General features: G+C 50.3%; 1 protein-coding gene across 2 annotated transcripts, besides 2 other annotated features; it reads right to left on the bottom strand.

The window, feature by feature from the left end:
* Positions 1,770–9,469, bottom strand: NR2E3 (nuclear receptor subfamily 2 group E member 3). Of its 2 annotated transcripts, NM_014249.4 has the most exons (8): positions 9,162–9,469; positions 8,414–8,540; positions 8,154–8,257; positions 7,847–8,068; positions 7,512–7,687; positions 6,388–6,634; positions 5,906–6,011; positions 1,770–2,471 (listed from the first exon to the last, which is right to left on the bottom strand). In NM_014249.4, the coding sequence occupies exons 1-8, from the start codon at positions 9,277–9,279 to the stop codon at positions 2,339–2,341; spliced, it is 1,233 nt and encodes a 410-aa protein (NP_055064.1). In that variant the 5' UTR covers positions 9,280–9,469; the 3' UTR covers positions 1,770–2,338. The 2 variants fall into 2 exon arrangements, with proteins under 2 accessions (NP_055064.1, NP_057430.1); NM_016346.4 differs by lacking the exon at positions 1,770–2,471 and having other exon boundaries at positions 5,094–6,011.
* Positions 15,189–15,258: an enhancer, noted in NCBI's record as "active region_9706". NCBI's record gives its function as "activates an Ori minimal core promoter by ATAC-STARR-seq in GM12878 lymphoblastoid cells {active_cell/tissue: GM12878}" and the evidence as "EXISTENCE:reporter gene assay evidence [ECO:0000049][PMID:35858748]".
* Positions 16,979–17,273: a silencer, noted in NCBI's record as "tiled region #1602; K562 Repressive non-DNase unmatched - State 12:CtcfO". NCBI's record gives its function as "represses a minimal TATA promoter and a strong SV40 promoter by Sharpr-MPRA in K562 cells {active_cell/tissue: K562}" and the evidence as "EXISTENCE:reporter gene assay evidence [ECO:0000049][PMID:27701403]".

Here is a 24,836-nt window from a genome sequence, read left to right as displayed (position 1 = left end):
TGAAATCTATTTTCCCACGACAGGGCTGCAGTGTCTCCAAAGAAAAATGGCTTCTCTTTTTCCTAATGCCAAATTTAATCAGTTTGGCATTAGGGGGGAAAAAATCTCCTGTGAGTGTCTTTCATTAGCAAATCCTAGGGGAAAGGGTTTCTGGGAAATGTAGTTCCTTCCTGGCATCTCTGCAGTGAAGAAAAGCCCTTAGAAGTGGGGGAGGGGTGGTATTGATGCCCGATTGACAGCAGACAATCCAGCTTATGTACTTCCTCTAATTCTCCAAGACTTCTTGGAGAGCCCTCAAATCTCCTTCCCAATGTAGATGTGCTGGGCTCACACATCCCAGATGCTAGCCTGTGAACTTCAGCAGGCTACCTTTGCAGTCTTACCATGTCCTCCAAAGCCAAACTGTAAGATACATACGCAGGGCTGGTCATGTCATATTTCAACCATGTGTCTTACTAAGGTGGCTTTGCTCAGGGCTTAGCTCATATGGATAAAACTTTTGATAGGGAATTGGACTGTATAATGGCATTATAGACATTAGTTGACCGATTAACTGAGGCCACTCTGATACTTTGAAAAGTTGGAGAGAATCTGAAGTAGCCTAGGGGCTGAAGTAAGAAGGGCTTCAGCTGGGCAGCATTTGCCATACTCTTTCCTCTCTGGCACCAGCCCTAGCGGTTCTGAGTTCCTGAGTAGATAGGGCATTTCTGTCAGCTAAGGGAATTCAAACACAAGCCAAAGGACAGGGAACCCCTAGGATTTCTCAGCCTTCTCACATGACCCTTTCTGTCTTGATTTCAAACACTTATCCTTTGAAGGCAGAAAATGCAACAGAATTGTTCAGTCTTTCATTCCAAAAGTGAAGGGGAAGTTGGGAAAGAGGCGGTGCCAAAGTTAAGCAGCATTAGGTAGAGTCACACCAAGGTTTGAGTCCTCTCTAAGCATCAGTTTTTTCACTTATAAATGGAGAAAATTGGCTCTTCCCTCAGAGTTAATCTGCGGATTAAATGGCAATTTAAAAAGTGCCCGGCTCACTGCCTGCTATTAATATATACATTGCCTGATCTATGTTAACATGTTAAAATATTATTTTCACAGTCATCTGGGTCTATCTTCAAAAAGGATTAGGTTCACACCTGTAATCCCAGCACTTTGGGAGGCCAAGGTGGGTGGATCACCTGAGGTCGGGAGCTCTAGACCAGCCTGGCCAACATGGAGAAACCCCGTCTCTACTGAAAATACAAAATTAGCTGGGTATGGTGGTGCATACCTGTAATCTCAGCTACTCGGGAGGCCGAGGCAGGAGAATCACTTATACCCGGGAGGCGGAGGTTGTCGTGAGCCAAGATTGCGCCATTGCACTCCAACCTGTGCAACAAGAGCAAAACTCAGTCTCAAAAAAAGAAAAAAGAGAAAAAGAAAATGATGAAGTTTGTCTGAGCTGTATCTTTCCATAAGGACCTGAGAAGTGATGAAGAGTCCCTTTCACAAAACGTACCTGTAGCTGCCTTATGTTGAGTTGGAAGGTGTTCTTTACTTAGGAAGGAGATGAGGCAGGAGATAGGAGATAAAGGTTGAGAGATGCTGCGGATGATGGGATGCCATCTGGAGAGAAGCTGGGTGGTTGAATTCTATGGGAGATTTTCCACTGGGCTTGAATTCATTGCGCCTGGTCTCTGACTTGGAGTGGAACCCAGATGGAACTCAAAGACCTTGCGCTCATTCCTTCAGTGTCCCCAAAGGGAGAGCCTTGACCACACTCATTTTTCTGGTTTTTTTTGTTTTTTTTTTTTACTTTTTTATTGAGGTCTAACAAAATAAAGTGCACAGCTCAATGAATTATTACGTATGAATACATTTGTGAAACCACTGCCCAGATCAAAATCAACATTTCTGGTACACCAGAGGGCTCCCATGAGCCCCCTCTGTATCAATCCCCCACCACCCAGAAGTAACCACTATTCCAACTTCTATTATTGTCAATTAGTCTTGCCTGTTCCTGAACTCTGCATAAATGGAACTTCGGCCTGGCTTCTTTCATTCAACTTTTATGTCTGTGAAGTTTACCTGTGTTGCCACATGTATCCGTAATTCATTCTTTTTAAATTATTTTTCATTATATGAATATACCACAACTTGTTAATTCATCCTACCATCAATATACAGTTTGGGGCTATTATGAATAAAGCTGCTATGAATATTCTTACAATATCTTTCGGTGGGCATTTCTGCTGGGTACACACACCTACGAGGAATTGCTGGGGCAAAGAGTAGGCAAATGTTTCGTTTCAGTAGATTGTTTTCCAGAGTGCTTGGAAACATTTCACCTCCACCCCCACTAGTTTTTGAACATATCACAAAGGAGCTTCTCCATTGGAGTATTCCCTATGGTCTTGCGGAAAAAGAGGAGCTCGATGCGTTCCGCAGTGATAAACCTCAAAGACGGGAGGAGCAGGAGCAATTTCCCAAACCTGAACAGGAGAGAGGACGCCATCAGTTTTACGACCAGCTTCTGAGCACTAGTCCCTGGGGCGGTGCCCTCCCAGGAAAGGGAGGGGAGGAAGGAGAGGAGAGATGAGGTCCCCAGAGTGGGTCAGGAGGAATTTCGAGGAAAAGCCACATTCAGGCCAGGCGTGGTGGCTCACGCCCGTAATCCCAGCACTTTGGGAGGCTGAGGCGGGCGGATCACAAGGTCAGGAGATCGAGACCATCCTGGCTAACATGGTGAAACCCCGTCTCTACTAAATATACAAAAAATTAGCCGGGCGTGGTGGCGGGCACCTGTAGTCCCAGCTACTCGGGAGGCTGAGGCAGGAGAATGGCATGAACCCGGGAGGCGGAGCTTACAGTGAGCCGAGATCCCGCTACTGCACTCCAGCCTCGGCTACAGAGCAAGACTCCGTCTCAAAAAAAAAAAAAAAGAAAAAAGAAAAGCCGCATTAACCAGAGGAGTTGCCTCCACCTACCTCGACCCATTGTGAGCCGCCACCCTCTATTTAGTTTAGGAGTGCAATGAAAATAATGAGTAAATATTGTTTATTATATGTAAAGATTATAAAGTGAAGTTTATATTAACTCTATACAGATGGTTCGACTTTATCATGGTGTGAAAGTGATAAGCATTCAGTATGCTCCTTGACTTAAGATGGGTTATGTATGAAAATTCATCTTCAACTTACAGTAGCTTCAACTTAACAATGGGTTTATCCAGATGTAACCCCATCATAAGTCAAGGAGCACCTGTATATGAAAATATTATTATTAATCTCATATATAAGTATTATAATTATATGATTAGTTTTTAGTAGATAAGAATTGTTTGTAAGAATACAAATTCCTGTCTGTATACCACCTAGGATGATGATAGCCATTACTGAAAATGTCCTGAAGTTGAAGGATAATTTTGGTGACTGAGATAGTCATTGAAAAAAATATTTATTGTTTTAAATAAGAACTATTTGCTGGCTGAGCGTGGTGGCTCACGCCTGTAATCCCAGCACTTTGGGAGGCCGAGGCGGGCGGAACACGAGGTCAGGAGATCGAGACCATCCTGGCTAATGCGGTGAAACCCCGTCTCTACTAAAAATACAAAAAATTAGCCGGGCGTGGTGGTGGGCGCCTGTAGTCCCAGCTACTCGGGAGGCTGAGGCAGGAGAATGGCGTGAACCCAGGAGGTGGAGCTTGCAGTGAACCGAGATCACGCCACTGCGCTCCAGCCTGGGTGACAGAGAGAGACTCCGTCTCAAAAAAAAAAAAAAAAAAAAAGTATTTGCTAAGACAGGAGTCCGCAACACAAAAGACGGATGGTGAAGCCCCAAGAGACAGATGGGGGAACTAAACCTTCCCTGGGTAGGTCTGATGGCCAGGGTCAACACCCAGCATCAAGGAGGCTACTCCACATTGGGCAGTCCCATGCTCCTCTCACCGTGAATTTCGGGGAAGACTTCCCCACCACTCAGTGATCTGCTGGACTTGCTTTGCCAACCTAAGGCCTTCCTTTCTCTTGCTAGTGCCAAGTGAGCAGCACTGAGCAAGTCGTATACCCCTCCCATCTGCCTTCCCTGCTTCTGTTTTTCTGATCTAAATTAGAGTGGGAGGAAGAAGAAATAACTATAAAGTCAGTTAAAGAATGTTTTTTCCAAACTGCAGGTATTGCCTCACCTAGTGGGTCTGAAATTAAATTCAGGGGGTCACAATCAGCCTTTTCAAAAAAAGAAAAGAGAAACATCAGGTAAATTGTAAAAGCTAAGGGTAGGAATTACTTCGTGGAACTTCGCTTTGGTGTCTGTGTGCATATCAGGGGGCGATGGTAATTGTGTTTCTTCCTGGGTGTTGCAGTTTTTAAAAACTGAAATAATATGCTGGATTAGAGAACCCCAAACCACTATCTTCATGCTCAATTCCCTTGTAGTAGGCAATGAACCGCTATAAAAGGGACATAGGAAATCTTAATCAGCATTTTGAAATTTGACGCATAACCAATATGCCAGGACATCTCTGGGAGTTGGTTCCAACAGAAACTTGGCAGAGAAAGGCTGCTGGTTTCTGAATGTCTCTGAATCCCACTCTTCAGATGCTAAGTCAAGTCTTAGTAGTAGCAGCGTTCTCCCTATGCTCATAAGCAGCACAAATCTTCCTGTGCTATATGGCATATACTTTGTATACTGTGGCTTTTCTTAAAAGGAAATTACCTTTTCTCCTTGTAATCATTTCTTGGATTAGAGGTGATGCAAGGATGCCCATATTAGCTTGCTTCTTCAGAAAGAAACTGCCGGGAGCCCCAAAGATTGCAGATAACATGGTCTAAAATAGCCAGTAGATGCCTGAAGGCCAAATGTTCCAACCTTGCTGAGGCTCCATGACATCTGCCTGTGCTGGGCCAAACAGCGTAGTCCCAGAGCACCGGCTCCTGCCCCACCCTCGCGCAGCCACACTCAGCCTGCAGCAACTCTCCCCCAAACCTAGCCAGGGCCATCCATGTGCTTGGCATCTCTACAGGATGCTCAGTGCACCTACAAAACACCTTATCATCTTCCCTCAAAACCGTCTTTCCTCCTGGCTTTCCTTTTTATATTTTTAACAATGTCTTCTCCCAAAGAGCTCCTCTTCCCTCATTCCTTACCTTCACCCAAACACCGGGTCTGACCCATTTCAACTCCTAGAGTCTCCCTTCTGCTTCCCCTGGCCATGCCCAAAGATCAGAACTCCATGGAACCATCTGGAAGGTGGCAGTAGCTGCCATCCCCTTCCCAGTAGTATCCTCTGGACCCATGGCCATGCCAGTCTGCGTGAGGTCCAGCCCTGTGTATGACCCTCTGCTCGGAAACCTGCAGTAGCTGCCCTCTGCCTCCCAAGTCAGACGTGGCCTTTGGCTGGCATTCAAAGTCCTGAACGGGCTGGTCCTAGGGTACTTTTCTGGCTTATTCTCCCCATTTCTCACTGGCAGGAACCTGTTATACCTTCAAAGTGGGCTCCTGTTCTAACAACATATCATGCTTGCCCCTCTCTCCCTTTGCAAATGATGTTTTCTTTTAGACTTCTTCTTCCTTTCAAGTCCAGCCCTGTCTCCACAAAGTCCCTCCCAATTCTGCTTTATGTTTCCCATGCAAGGGGATCTCTGTCTCCTGCAGATTCATGCAACCCTCAGTACCTGGCTAGGGCAGTTTTTGTCTTCAGTGAGGTCACTGCCGGTTGTCTCTAGAAGGCAGTAGCTTTGTCTTATGTACATCTTGGTCCCCACTCCCGGGGCCTGGCACTGTGCCTGGGACACCATAGATGTTGGCTGTATGCTGTTGAACTGAGACCCTTGTGCTGTCTAATCAGTGAGCTCTGGGAGAGTGTGGGAGAGGCAGAGAAAGGTTAGAGGTCAGGGACAGATGAGTGGGTGGGCGCATGCTCAGGTCACCTCACGGGCTGGCTGGGGTGGTGGGCCTTGCTGTGCTGGCTCAGCATCACTTGGGACTGGTCCTGCAAGGCCTCTACGTGCTCAGGATCCTTCAGGCCCCGCGTCTCTGGGGAGAAGCAGCACCAGTGAGCTTAGCACAGGTTTACGGCTGTTATAAGGCTGGCCATGAAGTGGTGGCCCAGGGTTCTGGCTGCAGACATGGACCTGGGGCCCTGTGGGGTGGGCTCTGCCAGGCCCAGAGGAGCCACCAGGGGCTCCGGCTGGGGCTCAGGGTCTCCCAGGGGCTCCCAGCCTGCCCTGTCCCCTCACAGTCAACCAGGAGTGGCCCCAAGGAGAAGGGAGTCCAGCCTCACCACTCTCCTCCCACCCCCCAGGATAGAGGCCTACACACATCTGCACACATGGGGGTAGTGGAGGGAGAGTGAGAGGCAGATGGAAGTCACCAGAATTCCCACTCAAGGTTTGGGCAGAGACTCAGTTACCTGGCTTGAAGAGGACCAAGGCCTTCATGCAGGCAAACTCCGTGGGGTCCACCGCCAATGCCCGGAACCGAGAGATAGTTTCCTGCAGGACACGCGTCTCCATGCTGGCCAGCGTGAGCCGGCCCTGGGCACCACCGGCAGCAGAGGCCTCGGGCGGTGCCAGCAGAGGACAGCTGTCCAGAGGCAGAGACCACTGGATGGCCCCGAGGAGAAAGAGTTCACTCCACGCCTCTTCCAGCAGGATCACCTGTGCTCAGACAGGGGTGCCTGTTATGGCAGACACACAGCTTCTCTGGCTCAGTCTGGAGCCTCTGCCACCATCTCAGGCACCCAAGGAATGGAAGTGCTGTCCTGGGACCCGAGAATGCTCTCCTGACATCAGCCAGAGGCTCAGAGCTCTGGGATTTGGCACCATCCGGCTCAGCTGCCTATCATCTGAGACACTGGGTTCCATCCAGAGCTGCAGCTGGGACATTTAGGAACGCCCAGAGCCATTGGAAGTTGGGCAGCCTCAGAGACATGCCTCATGAGTGTCCTAAGTTGAGTGTATTCAAGTGGTGTGGCCTGACTCTTCTGAGTTGCTCCACCCCAGCACACAGACTGGCTGAGGGCCTCAAACCCTCCTCATGCCTCTCCTCCTGGTTTTCCTGAAAGATCTGCTTGCCCATTAGAAGCCGAGAGGGATGGCCCAGAGCTGGAGAGATTGAACTAAAATGCAAGCCCTGAAGTCGTAGGCACTTGTGCTCCAAGGGGGCCTAGAGTCAGCCACTCAGCCTGTTCAGGGTGTGCAGGTCACTTGTTACCCACAGAATGTCTGCAGGGCCTGAGGGTCTTCCAGAACTTAAGAAGACCCTGGGCCCTGTAGGTCCCTAGCCATCATCATCTCCTAGGTGTGCACCCCGACCATCATCCCTGTGCCAGAGATGCATGCACCCCCACCGTCACCATCCCTGAGATGCACCCCAGCCATCGCTGAATCAGAGGTATGTGTGTCCCCAGCCATCACCATCCAAGCTGTGTGCATTCATACTGGCGTGGGGATGTGTGTGCCCTGTCTGGTTGACTCGAGTGGGCCGCCTGACCCCAGCCCAGCCTAGCTCCCCAGCAGGCAGGCCGGTAGGTACCTGATCCCGGAAGGGCAGGCTGGAGAACACAGGCAGGTTCTTGGCCCACTTGACGGCCATGAAGAGTAGGCGAGCCGAGGTCTCATGGATGCTGTCCAGGCCGCAGGGGGAGGAAGAGGAGTATGGAGAGGAGGGGAACTCAGGGTCATTGCTGGTGACATCAATATTCTCATCAGCTGTTGGAGGAGGAGGTTGTGATCTTAGCGCCTGCTTCTCGGGAGGTGGCAGGGAGTACTTGGAGCCCCGGGGGAGGGAGGATCAAGGCAAGGCGCTGCAGCCCTGCTGTGACCCGGGAAGCCAAGCCCTGCTGTGCCCTCAGCTGCTCTCCCACTCACCATCCTCTGGCTCCAGCTTAGCACAGGTTTCAGCTGTTATAAGGCTGGCCATGAAGTGGTGGCCCAGGGCTCTGGCTGCAGACATGGGTGTGGGGCCCCGTGGGCTGCGCCCTGCCGGGGCCGGGGGAGCCACCAGGGACTCCGGCCGGGACTCAGTGTTGGACTCCATGCTGTCCAGGTGGACCTGGGCTGTGCTTCGCGGCTGGCGCTCGTTCTGCACGGCTGGGGAGGCAGGAAGGGTCAGGACGACACGCCAGTCCCGCTGCCCATTTCTTGTCACCTCCCCCCGGGCCAGCCCCCGCCTCACCGTCCTGGTTCATCCCCGCCTGCAGGCACTTCTTCAGCCGGCAGGCCTGGCACTGGTTGCGGTGGGCCTTGTCCACGGGGCACATCCCTGCCCCCACCTGGCACCTGCAGGTGAAGAGGAGACCCCAGGGGTCAGTGTCCCTCCCATGCCCTGAGCCATGGGCTTGGACATTTTTGCCCAAGCCCCTCTTCCCCTGAGCACCCCCTCACCCCTCCAGAACCCCTCAGGGGCAGACGCCCAGCAGGGCCCACCGCACTCACCTGTAGATGAGCCTCCGCCGTACGCTCCTCTTGAAGAAGCCGCTGCAGCCGTTGCAGGCATAGATGCCATAGTGCTTCCCGCTGCTGCTGTCTCCGCACACGCGGCACTGGAGCGAGGGGCTCACGCCTGAGGGGCAGGGGGCAGGGCTGGGCCAGGGCAGGGCTGGGCCGGGGCAGGGCTGCACGCTCCCCTCCTTCCCTCGGGTCCCTTTCCCAGTCCTCAGGCCCCGCTCACCCGCATTTGAACGAACCCACGCGTGACTCTTCCATCTGGAGAAGTGTCTCCCTCACTGTGCATCCACACCCCAGCCCCCACCCCCATTCCTTGCCCTCTCTCCTCCCTCAATGGCCAATTTTCAGCAAGAGTCCGAGCCCTAGCTCCACTTTCCCAGCTCCCATCCCTTCTCTGTGGGTGGCTTCAGGCTCCATCATCCCACAGAAACATTCTTGTCAACGCCACTAGGGACCTCTGTGCTGTTAAGCCCTAAGGGCGCTTCTCTGTTCTTTCCTTCCCCATCGGCTAGGCTGTCCTGTCCTGGCTCTGCAGCCTGCCCGCCCCCAACCCCCATCCCCGCCCCACCGTGTTTCTAGGATTCTGGGTTTACCCACAGGCTACCCCACCCTTGCCCACAGCCGGCGGGGCTGGGTCTGAGTTGTTCTGGCTCCTTCCATGGTCCCTGCGAACCTCTGGCCCTTACCCTGCTCCCCAAGGGCCCAGACCCAACCCTACCTCCAGGAGAAGCCATACCTGTGGGATCCTCCCCCAGGCCCCATCTGCCTGGAGACTCCTTCCTGGAGGCAGCCCCAGCTGCAGGCGCAGCTGCAGCCACTGTGGAGCTCATCAGAGCTGTTGGTCTGGTCTCCATGGGTTACAGGGCAGCCTCTGCCTGCCTGCGGGAGGCCTGGGTTGCTGAGCCTGGCCCAGCCTTTGCCTCAGTCCATGAACCTCTGTCTCTCTGTGCCCCTGTCTCCCTTCCTGAACTCTGTCTGAACTCAGGAGCTGCCCCAAGGTCCCGAAGCCCCTCACAGCACAGGCTCTGGCTTGAGGAGATTTCTCCCGGGGCAGCCGCTGGACGCAGTTTATGATCCTCTTAATCTTTACTGTCTCCACAGGGGATCAACTGGCCACACCTGCAGCATTACCAAGGTGCCCCGGGAGCCGGTCAGTCCTGCTACCCCATGCTGGTTCCCGGGCTGCCCAAGGTCCCCCGGGGCCCTCCTGCCCTGTGTGCTCAGCTGTTCACCATTTCATGCCACATCTTGAAGAGAGGTGTGGACTCCACCTCTCCCAAGGACTTTAAATCTTTTTCTTTGTTTTGATACGGAGTCTCGCTGTGCCACCCAGGCTGGAGTGCAGTAGCATGGTCTCGGCTCACTGCAGCCTCTGCCTCCTGGGTTCAAGCGATTATCCTGCCTCAGCCTCCCAATCAGGTGGGATTACAGGCACCTGCCACCACGCTCGGCTAATTTTTTTTGTATTTGTAGTAGAGATGGGGTTTTGCCATGTTGGCCAGGCTGGTCTCGAACTCATGACCTCAAGTGATCTGCCCACCTCAGCCTCCCAAAGTGCTGGGATTACAGGTGTGAGCCACCCCACCTGGCTGGACTTTAAATCCTTTTGAGCTGCTTGGCACACATCCGAAGGCAAGTGTGTGGCCAGTGTGTGTGTCTTTGCCTGTGGGGGTCCTGCCTGAGACACTCCCCTTGGGTCCTAGGTAGATCTGGCTCTGCCCCACGAGGTTCTCACTCCAATCCCTTGGAAAGGGACTGCTTGGGGCTCACGATTTGAGGATCCAGCCCCCCCAGAAGGCTAGCAGTCCCCAGACACCTGGCACAGAGGACGTTCCCAGAACCGTCCCCCGTAGGGTCTGAGGCTGGCCTGGAGGAAAGAGGCCTGGATCCCCATCTGGAGGGTCTCCTTCAGGCCTGTGAGGGGGCAGAAGAGGAGCTGGCAGGCTCCTCTGGAGAGCCAGGCCTGCAGGACTAGAGCCAGTGAGGACACAGCCACCTTGAGCCTGGCCACGGGCTCTCAGGAGTCCTCCCCTTCCCCCCGAACTCGGCCTCACAGCTCCGCCTGCCTCTTGCCACACCAGCCCCCTGCGCTGCTCCCAGGTCCATCCTTCCCACCTCCAGCCCAGCGATGCCTCTGCTCCTGTGGGAAGGAGAGGGAAGGAGGAACTTGTCTTACATCCTTGCCTTATAGTAAGCCCCGGGCCCCCGCAAGGGAGTGTGGAGAGAGCAGAGGCAGACCCAGGTTCAAGTACCTTCTCCATCACCGGCCAGCCATGTGTCCCTGAGAAAGTGACTCAATCTGTCCAAACTTCAGTTCCTCACCTGTAAAACAGGATGAGAAGAGCACCTGTCCTATGGTGTAGTTGGGGAACTAAAGACAATGGTTCAGGAAATGTGTTTCAGAGCCTGGTACTCAGTAAGAACCTAATAAATGGTGTGTGCAGCTGATATTGTTATATTCTTGGGGTTACTGAGAAGGTCACACTCAGCAGCCTTTTCTTGCCTGCTCCTCCACCCCCAGGCCCACTTGCCAGCCCCCTCCCTGCCCGGGACAGAGCTGAAAGCCCATGTTGTCCTGGAGGGGACCACTTGTCCCCAGCAGACCAGAGCTCACCTCAGGATGAGCTGGGGTGGGGTTGGTCCAGCCTTAGACCCCAAGGGGAAGCGGGCGGAGCGTGAAGCTTCCAGAAGGATCATGGAGTTAAGGGGACAGGGGGCGGGGCCTGGCCCTTATGTAAGTGGGGTTAACCCTCCCTGTGACAGAGAAGCACAATTAGGGATTTGGGAAGTCAGCTCGAGGGGCTTTGCAGGGTAATCCGCTTTCTGGGGCCTCAGAAGATCGAGGCCACCGGGCTGGGTGCTCTCACCTGTTCTCCTCTCCTCCGTCCTCACCCCTCCCTGCCTCCTCTGCCAAAAAGCCCCTCAGGACAAGGTCTCCAGCTCCACCTAAGACTGAAGCTGAGGCCATCCTCCATGGATTTGACTGGCCACTCCCTCCTTCCCGAAGCCGCTCTTTCCCATCTCTTCTGGAACACGGGTCTTTGCCTTGAACTTGTCATCACCTCCATGTACCCAGAGACTGGTCCCAGCAGCCCTTCCCGCTCTCTCCTCGGGCAGTTTCACACACACTCACGGCTTCCAGGGCCACTTCATATCAGTTCCACCGTGGAGTCCAGCTCCACATGCCCCAGACCAAACCACCCCCAATTTATCTGCACAGAGGTAGTAACCCCAGGACTGGGGGGCCGCCTGGAGCAAATGCGTGCAGGTTTGAAAATGCCTAAGGCTGAGCTCAAGGGTCTCAGACTCTGGTGGCTGGAGCCAAGGACAAGCTGATGACAAAGGCACATCAGAGACAAGACGGAAACTCAGGACAGCGCTGCGCTGTCGCGGGAGCCAGGGACGGGGAGGAATCAGCAATGGTGGTGTCACCATGCAAGTGTTCCTTCCGTGTCATGCAGAAAGGAAGCATGCCAAGTTCTTACACAGATCCTTCAAACCTCACAGCAGCCTTGTAAAGGAGCTGTCCTTACTAGCCTCAACTCATGGGTGAGGAAAAACAGAGTCAGAGAAGTTAAGTAATTTGCTTCAGGCCACACAGCTAGTGAGTGGTGGAGGAGGCTGGGGATGCAGATGAGGATTTCAAACTGTGCTTGGCACTGCACTCAGCTTTGCACCAGGACACCCTCCCAGGAGGGGCAGCTGCCTCATTGGGTTTCAGCAGCAGCCGGAGGAGCTGGTGCCCTGGGAGGGAGCATGATTCAGGAGGCCTAGTTGTGGGGAGGGAGCGTGGCTGTGAGGGAAGGAGACGGGGCTGAGGGGTGGCAGGGAGGGTAACATTAAGGAAAGATTTTTTTCCCCAACGAATTTAGATATTTAAAGAAAAATATGTTAGGAATGCAGTTCCTTTTAAAATGGGAGCTACAGAGGAGAAAGAGCCAGGAAGAGAGGTGGAGGTGGGTGTACCTCAAACCCTGCCCCATGCCCAGCATCTCCGGAGAGACACCTGCAGGCTTGAGGGGGCGGCAGCCGGCAGGAGAGAAGGGGCTGCTCCGGCCTGCAGCCCGGGCTTAAGGGCAGGCTTGGGCCAGCACCGCTCCTCTCAGAGCCTGGCTGTGTGGGCTTGGGGAAGTTATTCTGCCTCTCAGTTTCATGCTCTCTGGAATGAGTAGGATGGTGTCCCATTGGGCGGTTGTGGTGGGATTAAAGGAGGTGAACTGAAGCGGAAAGGGCAGATGGAAGGGAGGAAGCGGGGGCAGGGCTACTGGAGGAGAGCGCTTCCTTCTCTCAGGGGCAGCACACGCAGGGGAGGCCGCTGAGCGGGGCTGGCTTTGGCCCTCCTGCTCCTTCTGCCCAGACCCTTCCCATCCCTGAAGGCCTGTCCAGGGCTCACCTCCTCCAGGCTGCCTGTGCTGACTCCACAGGCCACCTGTTTTGACTCCTCAGGCCGCCTGTGCTCTCCGAGAGAGAGCTTCTCCGGGTGCAGATCTTGTCCTTACATTGAACCTCACTCCAGGTCAACTTTCTCTCCTCCATCCAGATGGAAGATTCCAGGGAACAGGCTTAGAGTTTCGGGTTAGCTGGGGATGAGGATCCCAAGGCACTTAATGGACAGAGAATCTGTTTTCAACCTTGTCTGTATTTCCCTGTATTCTGTAGTGGGTATGTATTACCTAAAATGGCAAAAACAAAACAAGCCAGGCCACACAAGAAACCCAGTCCCATCTAAATGAAAGCCCCCTGCAGTGTTTGACCGGCCCATTTTTACGCTGTTGATTTTGACTGTATTCTGTCACTCCATCACGTGGATGCCAGCCAAAATCCCCTCTGAGCCTGGCCCTGGGTTCTTTGGCAGGTCAGGCCAGCCAGAGCTGTGCCCTATGCACTGTGCTGGGGGAATGGAAGCCAAAGCCCAGCAGGGCCTGGGGGTTGGGGGGGTCTCCCCGATCTGTGATCACCAGCTGCTGGGGCAGACGCCAAAGGATTACTCAGCCCAAAGCCCTGAATCTGCTGACTAAGCTGCCAGAGGCCACCTTATCACTAATACAATTATTCCCCCAGGGGACAGGTCAGCAACTTCCTCTGACTCCCAGGAGGTCTGGGCCGGTTGGGGGTGGAATAACAAGGCGTGATAGGGGCAGCAGGACTGACCTCCCTCTGCATCCTCAGGGCCCTGGCAAGGAATCCCCTGTTCTAGCCTCTCTAGGGGGAGCGGCTCTCTGGGCTTCTTGTCTGGGGCATGTCTCAGCCACAATACTGGGTGCTGGGAACAAATCTTCCAGGATCTCTTTTTTCCTTATTTTATTTTTTTTGAGACGGAGTCTTGCTCTGTCGCCCAGGCTGGAAGTGCAGTGGGGTGATCTTGGCTCACTGCAACCTCTGCCTCCTGGGTTCAAGCAATTCTCCTGCCTCAGCGTCCCGAGAAGCTGGGATTATAGGCGCCCGCCACTATGCCCGGCTAATTTTTGTATTTTTAGTAGAGATGGGGTTTCACCATCTTGGCCAGGCTGGTCTTGAACTTCTGACCTCAGGTGATCCACCCACCTCGGCCTCCCAAAGTGCTAGGATTACAGGCGTGAGCCACTGCACCTGGCCCCAGGATTTATTTTTTCTTTCTTTCCTTCCTTCCTTTTCCTTCTTTTCTTTTTTTCTCTCTTTCTCTTTTTGAGACAGGGTCTTGCTCTGTCACATAAGCTGGAGTTCAGTGGCGAGATCACAGCTCACTGCAGCCTCAGTCTCCTGGGCTCAAGAGATCCTCTCGCCTCAGCCTTCCAAGTAGCTGGGACTACAGGTGCACACCACCATGCCTGGCTAACTTTTTAGTTTTTCATAGAGATGGGGTCTCCCTGTCTTGCCCAGGCTGGTCTCGAACTCCTGGGCTCAAGTGATCCTTCTGCCTCAGCTTCCCAAAGTGCTGTCACCATGCCTGGCCCAGGATTTATTTCTTAAACAGTCACCCACCCCCACAAATTCCTGCCCACCCCCCGAATTCCTGCCCCCCACCCCCAAGTGTCTTCACCTTCTTTGAAGCATAGCTAGTGGGGAGTGCACAGGCCCTGGAGCTGAGGCCTCAGCCATCCACACTCCAGGAAACTATCCCTTGGAAAATTTTACAAAGATTTAATTATATGGATGTACCCTGCAGCAATTTTCTAGACAACTGGCTAAATAAGTTCTACTCCCTCTGTACAGTGGAATCCCATGCAGCCATTGCAGCTGGTGGTGTTCCTATATTCATTTACATGGAAATATGTCCACAATGTCTCAACTTCAAAGCCACTTACAAAACAGACATGGATAGTTTGATTTCATGTGGCCCAGGGGAATTTCTGGCTGAAGATCATGGGATGCTTGTCTCCTTGGCAGGACCTAAATGAATCAATGGTTTTCTTTCTAGAGCAGGGAGTGGAAGGTGCAGGGCTCCGAGAGGCAGACACCAGCGGGAATGTTTCTCAATAAAGCTTCTTTCTTTTCTTTTCAAGATAACATTTAGAAATGATCAGATATTCCCCTGCACAGTTTTCCCAGCCCTTGACTAGTAAAGTCTTTTTCCCCTTGAACTCTTCTAAAGGTCTAAGCAGGGCTGGCGGGGGCCCTGCCCTGTCCTGGGACAGGCAGACAAAAAGCAGCCTGTCTGGAACATGCACCATCTGTTGCTCCACCCTGGGTCACCTCTTCCTCCTCTGTACCCGAGATGACTGACAGGAAAGACCTCCAGGTTAGCTTGGCTTGACTCCCAAGCACCATGCGAGGTGGCTGTCTCAGTTCTGTTGCAGAGCTGTCACCAGAGGCCACCGCAGACATTCTCCCCACAGGCAAATATTTCTGTTTCATTTGAATGTTTAATAATACACATGTATTACAGCTCTAACCTGGATAAAATACAGTTCTTTGTATTTTAAAAAAAGAGACTAATTTGAAATCAATATTACCTATACTAATAATGATAGGAAATATTTATAAAGAAATTCAGTCTTTATGTGTGAAAATGAGAAGCTCCCCATGCTTTCATTTTCTCTCCCTCTTCACCCAAGAGGAGGACCTAAATCTCTAGCGGCTGCTCTGGCCTGAGCCTCCGCTGCTTGGAACAGCTGCAGCCCCCAGTGCAGAGGCCGCCCGTCCACCTGCTGCACCAGGTGTAAACCCTTTAGTTGCTGGGCCATGGGCAGATCTGGAGACCCTGGGAGGGGCCAGAACACTGGGGGCAGGCTGGGGCAGGAAGCTATTTGAAAACCAGTATAGAACTATTTTTAAACGTTTAACAACAGGCACAACCACACCAGGGTACACTAGCTGACTGACCAGTTCATTTATGCTGGTGGTGAGGACACCATGGAGGAACAGCAGTCAGGGCTGTGTCCAAAAAGTTATCTGGCTCTCAGGCTCAGAGTATGCATTCTTTTTTCATTTTCTTTTCTTTTCTTTTTTTTTTTTTTGAGACAGGATTTCGGTCTGTCACCCAGGCTGGGGTGCAGTGTGGCGTGATCATGGCTCACTGCAGCCTCGACCTTCTGGGCCCAAGCAATCCTTCTGCCTCAACCTCCTGAGTAGGTGGGACCACAGGTGTGTGCCACCACACCCGGCTAATTTTTAATTTTTTTGTAGAGATGGGGGTCTCCCTATGTTGCTCAGGTTGGTCTCGAACCCCTGGGCTCAAGCGATCCTTCTGCGTTGGTCTCCAAAGTGCTGGGATTACAGGGCGTAAGTCAGTGTGCTTGGCCTAGAATTATAATCAAGATAAAATAAAGCTTTTTTGTCTTTTTAAAAGAGACGGGTTAATTTTTAAAAAATACGAGCTGTAATAATAATGGAAAATATTTATTAAGAAATTTTATGTGCCAGACACAGTTCTAAGCGTTTATATGTGTAAACTCATTTAATCCTCACGACAACACAATCAGATAAGCATTGTCATTATTATCCTTGTCTATAAGCAGGCGCCTGTAGTCCCAGCTACTCGGGAGGCTGAGGCAGGAGAATCACTTTAACCCAGGAGGCGGAGGTTGCAGTGAGCCAAAATCATGCCATTGCACTCCAGCCTGGGCAACAGAGCAAGACTCTGTCTCAGAAACAAACAAACAAAAAACAAAACAAAAACTTCTGTGGAAGTCGAATTATTTTGAAGATAAAATATTTAAAAACAATATATACAATTAGAATATATTAAGGGGTTATTAGTTTGTTATGACAATGGTATTGTGGATATGTTTAATTAAAAAATAATCCTGCTAGAGATATACTCTGAAGTATTTACAGAAGTGAGTCAATGTCTTGGATTTGCTTTTAAAGACTGTTTTTTTTTTTGTTGTTGTTTTTTTTTAATAAACGAATGAATGAAAAGAGGGAGTAGATGAACTGAGGACTGAAGGTGATAGTTATTGATATGGGTGATGGGTACATGGGTGTCATGGACCTTTTATCTCTAATTGCTTTTGTGATTGAAATGTTAGGTAATAAGTTTAAAATATGTATACACATACAAGCTGCCTACACGAACAATGAAACAACAGGTGCCACTGATGACTTTAGACGCTCTACAGGCTCCTCAGCTTGGACCCTCCCCACCCTACTCTGTCTCCACTGCCCATCTTCGCCTTGCCTTGCAGCTTTGGAGGCTCTAAACTGAACCAGGTGACGCGCGCGGCAGGAAACCCCCGGTGCTACTGGGGAACTGCCGGGCCAGTCGGTGGACCAGCGCCCCCTCCTGGAAGGACAAAAAGCGCAGCGAGAGGGGCCGGTGCCACCTTGCGCTTCCTCTGACCTCGAGTGCTGGCTCTCTCCTTCGCGCTTCTGGCTATACCCGGTTCTGGCTCGGCTCGGCCTGTTCTTTCCCTCTTTCTCCAACCGACTCCTCCTCACACTTCAAGACCAGCTCCAAGGTCTCTCCTGAGAGCACGCACTCTATCATCGCTCCTCACATCCCAGGCCCTATCAGAAACAATCTTACGCCCTTTCTTTGCAGTCACCCGGCTCCTCCAATGTGCACAGAAGCTTTGTGAGACCAGGGTCTTGTCGATCTTGTTCAACGGCATGACACGTAGAAGGAGTCTGATAATTATTTGTTGACCGCCTGAGTGGACGTAAGCTTGCCCTAGTCCTGGCAGCCTGCGGCGGCTTCGGCTTTCTGCCCTGCCCGGGGCCCTGTGGGCATCTCTCGGGCATCCTCCCGGGACCGGGTCCCAGCAATTGCAGGTCCCAATGGTGTCCGGAGGCCCGGAGTTGGTTCTTTCCGGTGGGTTCTTTGTCTCGCTGGCTTCAAGAATGAAGCTGCGGACCTTCCCGGTGAGTGTTAAAGCTCTTAAAGGTGGCACAGACCCAAAGAGTGAGCAGCAGCAAGATTTACTGTGAAAAGCGAATGAACAAAGACTCCACTGCACCAAACTGGACTCCCACTGGTTACCAGGGCTGGCTGGGGTGGCCAGCTTTTATTCCCTAATTTGTCCCCGCCCATGTGCTGCTGATTGGTCCATTTTGCTGAGCACTGATTTGGTCCATTTTACAGTGTGCTGATTGGTCCATTTTACAGAGTACTGATTGGTCCATTTTATAGTGTGCTGATTGGGGCATTTTACAATCCTCTTGTAAGACAAAAAAGTTCTCCAAGTCCCCACCTGACCCAGAAGTCCAGCTGGCTTCACTTCTCATCAGCAGTCGCGGGGCCACACACCCTTATCCTATGAGGCCGTTTATTCTGCCATGAGAGGTGTAAAATGTGTTTTAATAAAAGGCATTTACCTGGCCAGGACCTAAACTGATTGAAGCAATAAGCTACTCGGAAGGGAATGCTATTGTCCTAGGGGGCTTTCCAGGCTGCCACAATGATGTTCCATTACCCAGAGAAGCAGCATCCCCCTGGCACAAGACAGTGGTTTCCAGGGCGTGATGACTGAAGGTGCTGGGAAGGGTGGGTCCTTCTGCAGTCTCTACCGGGACTCTCTCTGCTTTCATCTGTTTCATAGTTGGTCAAATTTTGTTTGAAGAAGTTTTTTTCTCTTCCTAAAGAGTGACAAGTGGGTAGCATTGAGCCTCAGGTATGAGACCGTGCGTATTAGCTGGGTGGGCTCGGCCAAGTCTCTTCACCTCTCTGGACTGTTACTATGAGGAAATCATGGAGCTAATAGTGGAGCTTCACGTCTGGGTGAAGGCAGAGGACCGAATCAGAGGACCTCTCAAGTTCTCTCAGATCTGATTTATTGTACCCAGAATCACAAAATAGCAGGTAGTTGGATCCACTTGGAATACCCTGAAAGGCCACAAGATGGAGGTGTTACTCCATGAGAAAAGTTTGGCCTGCTCTGCACTGTTCCATCCCCCAATTTGTAGCCTAAGAGACTTGAGAATTTCTTCTTTGGAATTGTAGCAAAGTAAACACTTCACCAATACGCACTTGCATCTTCAGGCAGAGGATTTAAGCTCTTACTAAAGAACCCCAGCGGTTCCCTATAGCGTTTCATGCACAACTTTTTTTTTTAAATCAAAGCACCAAAGAGGGGCTGAGCGACAGTCAGGAGACTATCTGACGCAGAGGTGGCATCCCCGCCCCCTGGGAGTATCACCCCATTGTGTCCTGATACACTGGCTCATGTGCGTCAGAGCTCCTGACATATCGCAAACACCCAGAAAACAGATGTTGAGTGGAGTGGATGCTGGATTTATTTTACTGAATCACGTACTTGGCATTAAAATATACGGTGTCCCCTACAGAGGGTTTTCCATGTTCCCATAGGAACTGTTGAGATTTTTTTTTTTTTTTTGAGACAGAGTCTCTCTCTGTCGCCCAGGCTGGAGTGCAATGGTGCAATCTCTGCTCACTGTAACCTCCACCTCCCGGGTTCAAGCAATTCTCCTGCCTCAGCCTCTCAAGTAGCTGGGATTACAGGCGCCTGCCACCACGCCTGGCTATTTTTTTGTATTTTTAGTAGAGACAGGGTTACACCGTGTTGGCCAGGATGGTCTCGATCTCCTGACCTCATGATCTGCCCGCCGCGGCTTCCCAAAGTGCTGGGATTACAGGTATGAGCCACTGCACCTGGCCAGGAACTGTTGAGATGATTGGAAAATGGCTGGAGACAGATGCTTTGTCTAGAATTTGGTTTCCTGTATTCTAGAAGTGATTGCCTCAAGGCCCAGATTCCCAGGATTTGGAGATCAGTGAGCAGGAAGGGCATTTACTGAGTCAGTCCTGGGAGCAAGTGTCAGGTGAATCCTGGCAAACCTACTATGGACAAGGGTGTCGCCAGAGAAAGATGAGATTCTGTGCATGTGCTTGGCTAGGAACCTCTGTCATGTTACACTTTGCTGGTAGGTAAAGAAAGTATGAAAGCACCGGGATTAGGCAAACTTGGCTCCGGCAGGAAGGATGTGTCTTAAGCAGCAGACACTAGGAATGGAGGCAGGGTGACATGGAGGAGTGAGGGGTGTTGACTTCTCATGGCCCTGCCAGTCAGGGGAGCTGGAAAGGTACTTGGAGGAGGTGGTACAGAGGTGATGACTGGGGTCACCTGGCAGAGAGCGTGAGTGATGATCAAGAGTGCATGGCCGGGCACGGTGGCTCATGCCTGTTATCCCAGCACTTTGGGAGGCCAGGGTTGGCAGATCACCTGAGGTCAGGAGTTCGAGACCACCCTGGCCAACATGGCAAAACCCCATCTCTACTAAAAATACAAAAATTAGCTGAGCGTGGGTGGCGGGCGCCTGTAATTCCAGCTACATGGAAGGCTGAAGTGGGAGAATCACTTGAACCCGGGAGGTGGAGGTTGCAGTGAGACAAGATCACACCTCTGCACTCCAGCCTGGGTGACAAGAGCAAAACTCCATCTCGAAAAAAAAAAAAAAAAAAAAAAAAAGAGTGCATGGCTCGGCATGGTGGTTCATGCCTGTAATCCCAGCACTTTTGGAGGCTGAGGCAGGTGATTGCTTGAGCTCAGGAGTTTGAGACCACCCTGGGCAACAAAGTGAGACCCTGTCTCTACAAAAAAAATACTAGTTAGCCTGATGTGGTGGTGCACACCTGTAGTCTCAGCTACTTGGGAGGCTGAGGCAGGAGTATTGCTTGAACCTGGGAGGTCAAGGCTGCAGTGAGCTGTGACTGTACTACAGCCTGGGTGACAGAGCGAGGCCCTGTCAAAAAAAAAAAAAAAAAAAAAAAAAGGGAGGGAGGGAGGCTGGGCACAGTGGCTCATACCTATAGTCTTAGCACTTTTGGAGGCTGAGATGGGTGGATTGCCTGAGCTCAGGAGTTTGAGACCAGCCTGGGAAACATGGTGAAACCCCATCTCTACTAAAATACAAAAAAGTAGCTGAGTGTGGTGGTGCATGCCTGTAGTCCCAGTTACTCAGGAGGCTGAGGCAGAATTGCTTGAATCTGGGAGGCAGAGGTTGCAGTGAGCCAAGATTGTGCCGCTGCACTCCAGCCTGGGCAACGGAGCGAGACTCTGTCTCTAACAAAAAAAGGAAGGAAGGGAGGGAGGAAGGGAGGCAGGGAAGAAAGGGAGGGAAGGGATGGAGGGAGGGAAAGAGGGAAGGAAGGAGAGAAGGAAGGAAGGAAGGAAGAGTGAAAGAAAGAAAGAGTGAGTGAGTGTATGCCTGGAACCTGAGAGCCAGAAAACTTTTTTGGACACAGCCCTGCCTGCTGTTCCCTGACGGTGTGCTCACCACCAGCATAAATGAACTGAACATTCCTGAATCCTGGCTGGACCATCCTGTCAGGGCCTGTGCATGGAGGAGGCCTGGTGACCACCACGAATGGCCTGGACAGGTCCTGACTAGCTATTTGCTACCTTCATGGCCTCCCTGACCCTTGTGGCAGCCAGGAACGTTCAGCCCTTCCTGAGTGGGTGACTGGGGATGGAGCACAAGAAAGCCTGTTTTGAATTATCCCATGCTCCACACCATTCGTTATTCCAGTGTGTGCACACTCGAGTAACACTCAGACGACCTTTAAAAGAAAATAATTGGAAGATGGCCGAATAGTAACAGCTCCGGTCTACAGCTCCCAGTGTGAGCGACGCAGAAGACGGGTGATTTCTGCATTTCCATCGGAGCTTTGAAGAGAGCAGCGGTTCTCCCAGCACGCAGCTGGAGATCTGAGAACGGGCAGACTGCCTCCTCAAGTGGGTCCCTGACCCCTGACCCCCTGAGCAGCCTAACTGGGAAGCACCCCCCCAGCAGGGGCAGACTGACACCTCACACGGCCGGGTACTCCTCTGAGACAAAACTTCCAGAAGAACGATCAGAGAGCAGCATTCGCGGTTCACAAAAAACCACTGTTCTGCAGACACCGCTGCTGATACCCAGGCAAACAGGGTCTGGAGTGGACCTCTAGCAAACTCCAACAGACCTGCAGCTGAGGGTCCTGTCGTTAGAAGGAAAACTAACAAACAGAAAGGACATCCACACCAAAAACGCATCTGGAGATCACCATCATCAAAGACCAAAAGTAGATAAAACCAAAAAGATGGGGAAAAAACAGAGCAGAAAAACTGGAAACTCTAAAAAGCAGAGCACCTCTCCTCCTCCAAAGGATCGCAGTTCCTCACCAGCAATGGAACAAAGCTGGACGGAGAATGACTTTGACGAGTTGAGAGAAGAAGGCTTCAGACGATCAAACTACGAGCTACAGGAGGAAATTCAAACCAAAGGCAAAGAAGTTAAAAACTGAAAAAAATTTAGACGAATGTATAACTAGAATAACCAATACAGAGAAGTGCTTAAAGGAGCTGATGGAGCTGAAAGCCAAGGCTCGAGAACTACGTGAAGAATGCAGAAGCCTCAGGAGCCGATGTGATCAACTGGAAGAAAGGGTATCAGCGATGGAAGATGAAATGAATGAAATGAAGCAAGAAGGGAAGTTTAGAGAAAAAATAATAAAAAGAAACGAACAAAGCCTCCAAGAAATATGGGACTATGTGAAAAGACCAAATCTACGTCTGATTGGTGTACCTGAAAGTGATGGGGAGAATGGAACCAAGTTGGAAAACACTCTGCAGGATATTATCCAGGAGAACTTCCCCAATCTAGCAAGGTAGGCCAACATTCAGATTCAGGAAATACAGAGAACGCCACAAAGATACTCCTCGAGAAGAGCAACTCCAAGACACATAATTGTCAGATTCACCAAAGTTGAAATGAAGGAAAAAATGTTAAGGGCAGCCAGAGAGAAAGGTCGGGTTACCCACAAAGGGAAGCCCATCAGACTAACAGCGGATCTCTCGGCAGAAACTCTACAAGCCAGAAGAGAGTGGGGGCCAATATTCAATATTCTTAAAGAAAAGAATTTTCAACCCAGAATTTCATATCCAGCCAAACTAAGCTTCATAAGTGAAGGAGAAATAAAATCCTTTACAGACAAGCAAATGTTGAGAGATTTTGTCACCACCAGGCCTGCCCTAAAAGAGCTCCTGAAGGAAGCACTAAACATGGAAAGGAACAACCAGTACCAGCCACTGCAAAATCATGCCAAAATGTAAAGACCATCGATGCTATGAAGAAACTGCATCAATTAATGGGCAAAATAACCAGCTAACATCATCATGACAGGTTCAAATTCACACATAACAATATTAACTTTAAATGTAAATGGACTAAATGCTCCAATTACAAGACACAGACTGGCAAATTGGATAAAGAGTCAAGACCCATCAGTGTGCTGTATTCAGGAAACCCATCTCACGTGCAGAGACACACATAGGCTCAAAATAAAAGGATGGAGGAAGATCTACCAAGCCAATGGAAAACAAAAAAAGGCAGGGGTTGCAATCCTAGTCTCTGATAAAACAGACTTTAAACCAACAAAGATCAAAAGAGACAAAGAAGGCCATTACATAATGGTAAAGGGATCAATTCAACAAGAAGAGCTAACTATCCTAAATATATATGCACCCAATACAGGAGCACCCAGATTCATAAAGCAAGTCCTGAGTGACTACAAAGAGACTTAGACTCCCACACATTAATAATGGGAGACTTTAACACCCCACTGTCAACATTAGACAGATCAATGAGACAGAAAGTCAACAAGGATACCCAGGAATTGAACTCGGCTCTGCACCAAGTGGACCTAATAGACATCTACAGAACTCTCCACCCCAAATCAACAGTATACATTTTTTTCAGCACCACACCACACCTATTCCAAAATTGACCACGTAGTTGGAAGTAAAGCTCTCCTCAGCAAATGTAAAAGATCAGAAATTATAACAAACTATCTCTCAGACCACAGTGCAATCAAACTAGAACTCAGGATTAAGAAACTCACTCAAAACTGCTCAACTACATGGAAACTGAACAATCTGCTCCTGAATGACTACTGGGTACATAACGAAATGAAGGCAGAAATAAAGATGTTCTTTGAAACCAACGAGAACAAAGACACAACATACCAGAATCTCTGGGACACATTCAAAGCAGTGTGTAGAGGGAAATTTATAGCACTAAATGCCCACAAGAGAAAGCAGGAAAGATCCAAAATTGACACCCTAACATCACAATTAAAAGAACTAGAAAAGCAAGAGAAAACACATTCAAAAGCTAGCAGAAGGCAAGAAATAACTAAAATCAGAGCAGAACTGAAGGAAATAGAGACACAAAAAACCCTTCAAAAAATTAATGAATCCAGGAGCTGGTTTTTTGAAAGGATCAACAAAATTGATAGACCGCTAGCAAGACTAATAAAGAAAAAAAGAGAGAAGAATCAAACAGACACAATAAAAAATGATAAAGGGGATATCACCACCGATCCCACAGAAATAAAAACTACCATCAGAGAATACTACAAACACCTCTACGCAAATAAACTAGAAAATCTAGAAGAAATGGATAAATTCCTTGACACATACACTCTCCCAAGACTAAACCAGGAAGAAGTTGAATCTCTGAATAGACCAATAACAGGAGCTGAAATTGTGGCAATAATCAATAGCTTACCAACCAAAAAGAGTCCAGGACCGGATGGATTCACAGCCGAATTCTACCAGAGGTACAAGGAGGAACTGGTACCATTCCTTCTGAAACTATTCCAATCAATAGAAAAAGAGGGAATCCTCCCTAACTCATTTTATGAGGCCAGCATCATCCTGATACCAAAGCCTGGCAGAGACACAAACAAAAAAGAGAATTTTAGACCAATATCCTTGATGAACATTGATGCAAAAATCCTCAATAAAATACTGGCAAACCGAATCCAGCAGCACATCAAAAAGCTTATCCACCATGATCAAGTGGGCTTCATCCCTGGGATGCAACGATGGTTCAATATATGCAAATCAATAAATATAATCCAGCATATAAACAGAACCAAAGACAAAAACCACATGATTATCTCAATAGATGCAGAAAAGGCCTTTGACAAAATTCAAAAACCCTTCATGCTAAAAACTCTCAATAAATTAGGTATTGATGGGACGTATCTCAA

Source organism: Homo sapiens, chromosome 15 (genome assembly GCF_000001405.40).
Source record: "Homo sapiens chromosome 15, GRCh38.p14 Primary Assembly".
In the NCBI taxonomy this organism is placed as follows: domain Eukaryota; kingdom Metazoa; phylum Chordata; class Mammalia; order Primates; family Hominidae; genus Homo; species Homo sapiens.
This window is presented reverse-complemented; position numbering and strand designations above follow the sequence as displayed.

Coding starts and splice junctions, on each gene's coding strand:
- NR2E3 (NM_014249.4), bottom strand. CDS start 9,279: ATGGAGACCAGACCAACAGCTCTGATGAGCTCCACAGTGGCTGCAGCT. Junction 8,069..8,153: donor GGCGGGGATGAACCAGGACG/GTGAGGCGGGGG, acceptor CTGCCTCCCCAG/CCGTGCAGAACGAGCGCCAG. Junction 2,472..5,905: donor CACCCCAGCCAGCCCGTGAG/GTGACCTGAGCA, acceptor TCTCCTGTTCAG/GTTTGGGAAATTGCTCCTGC.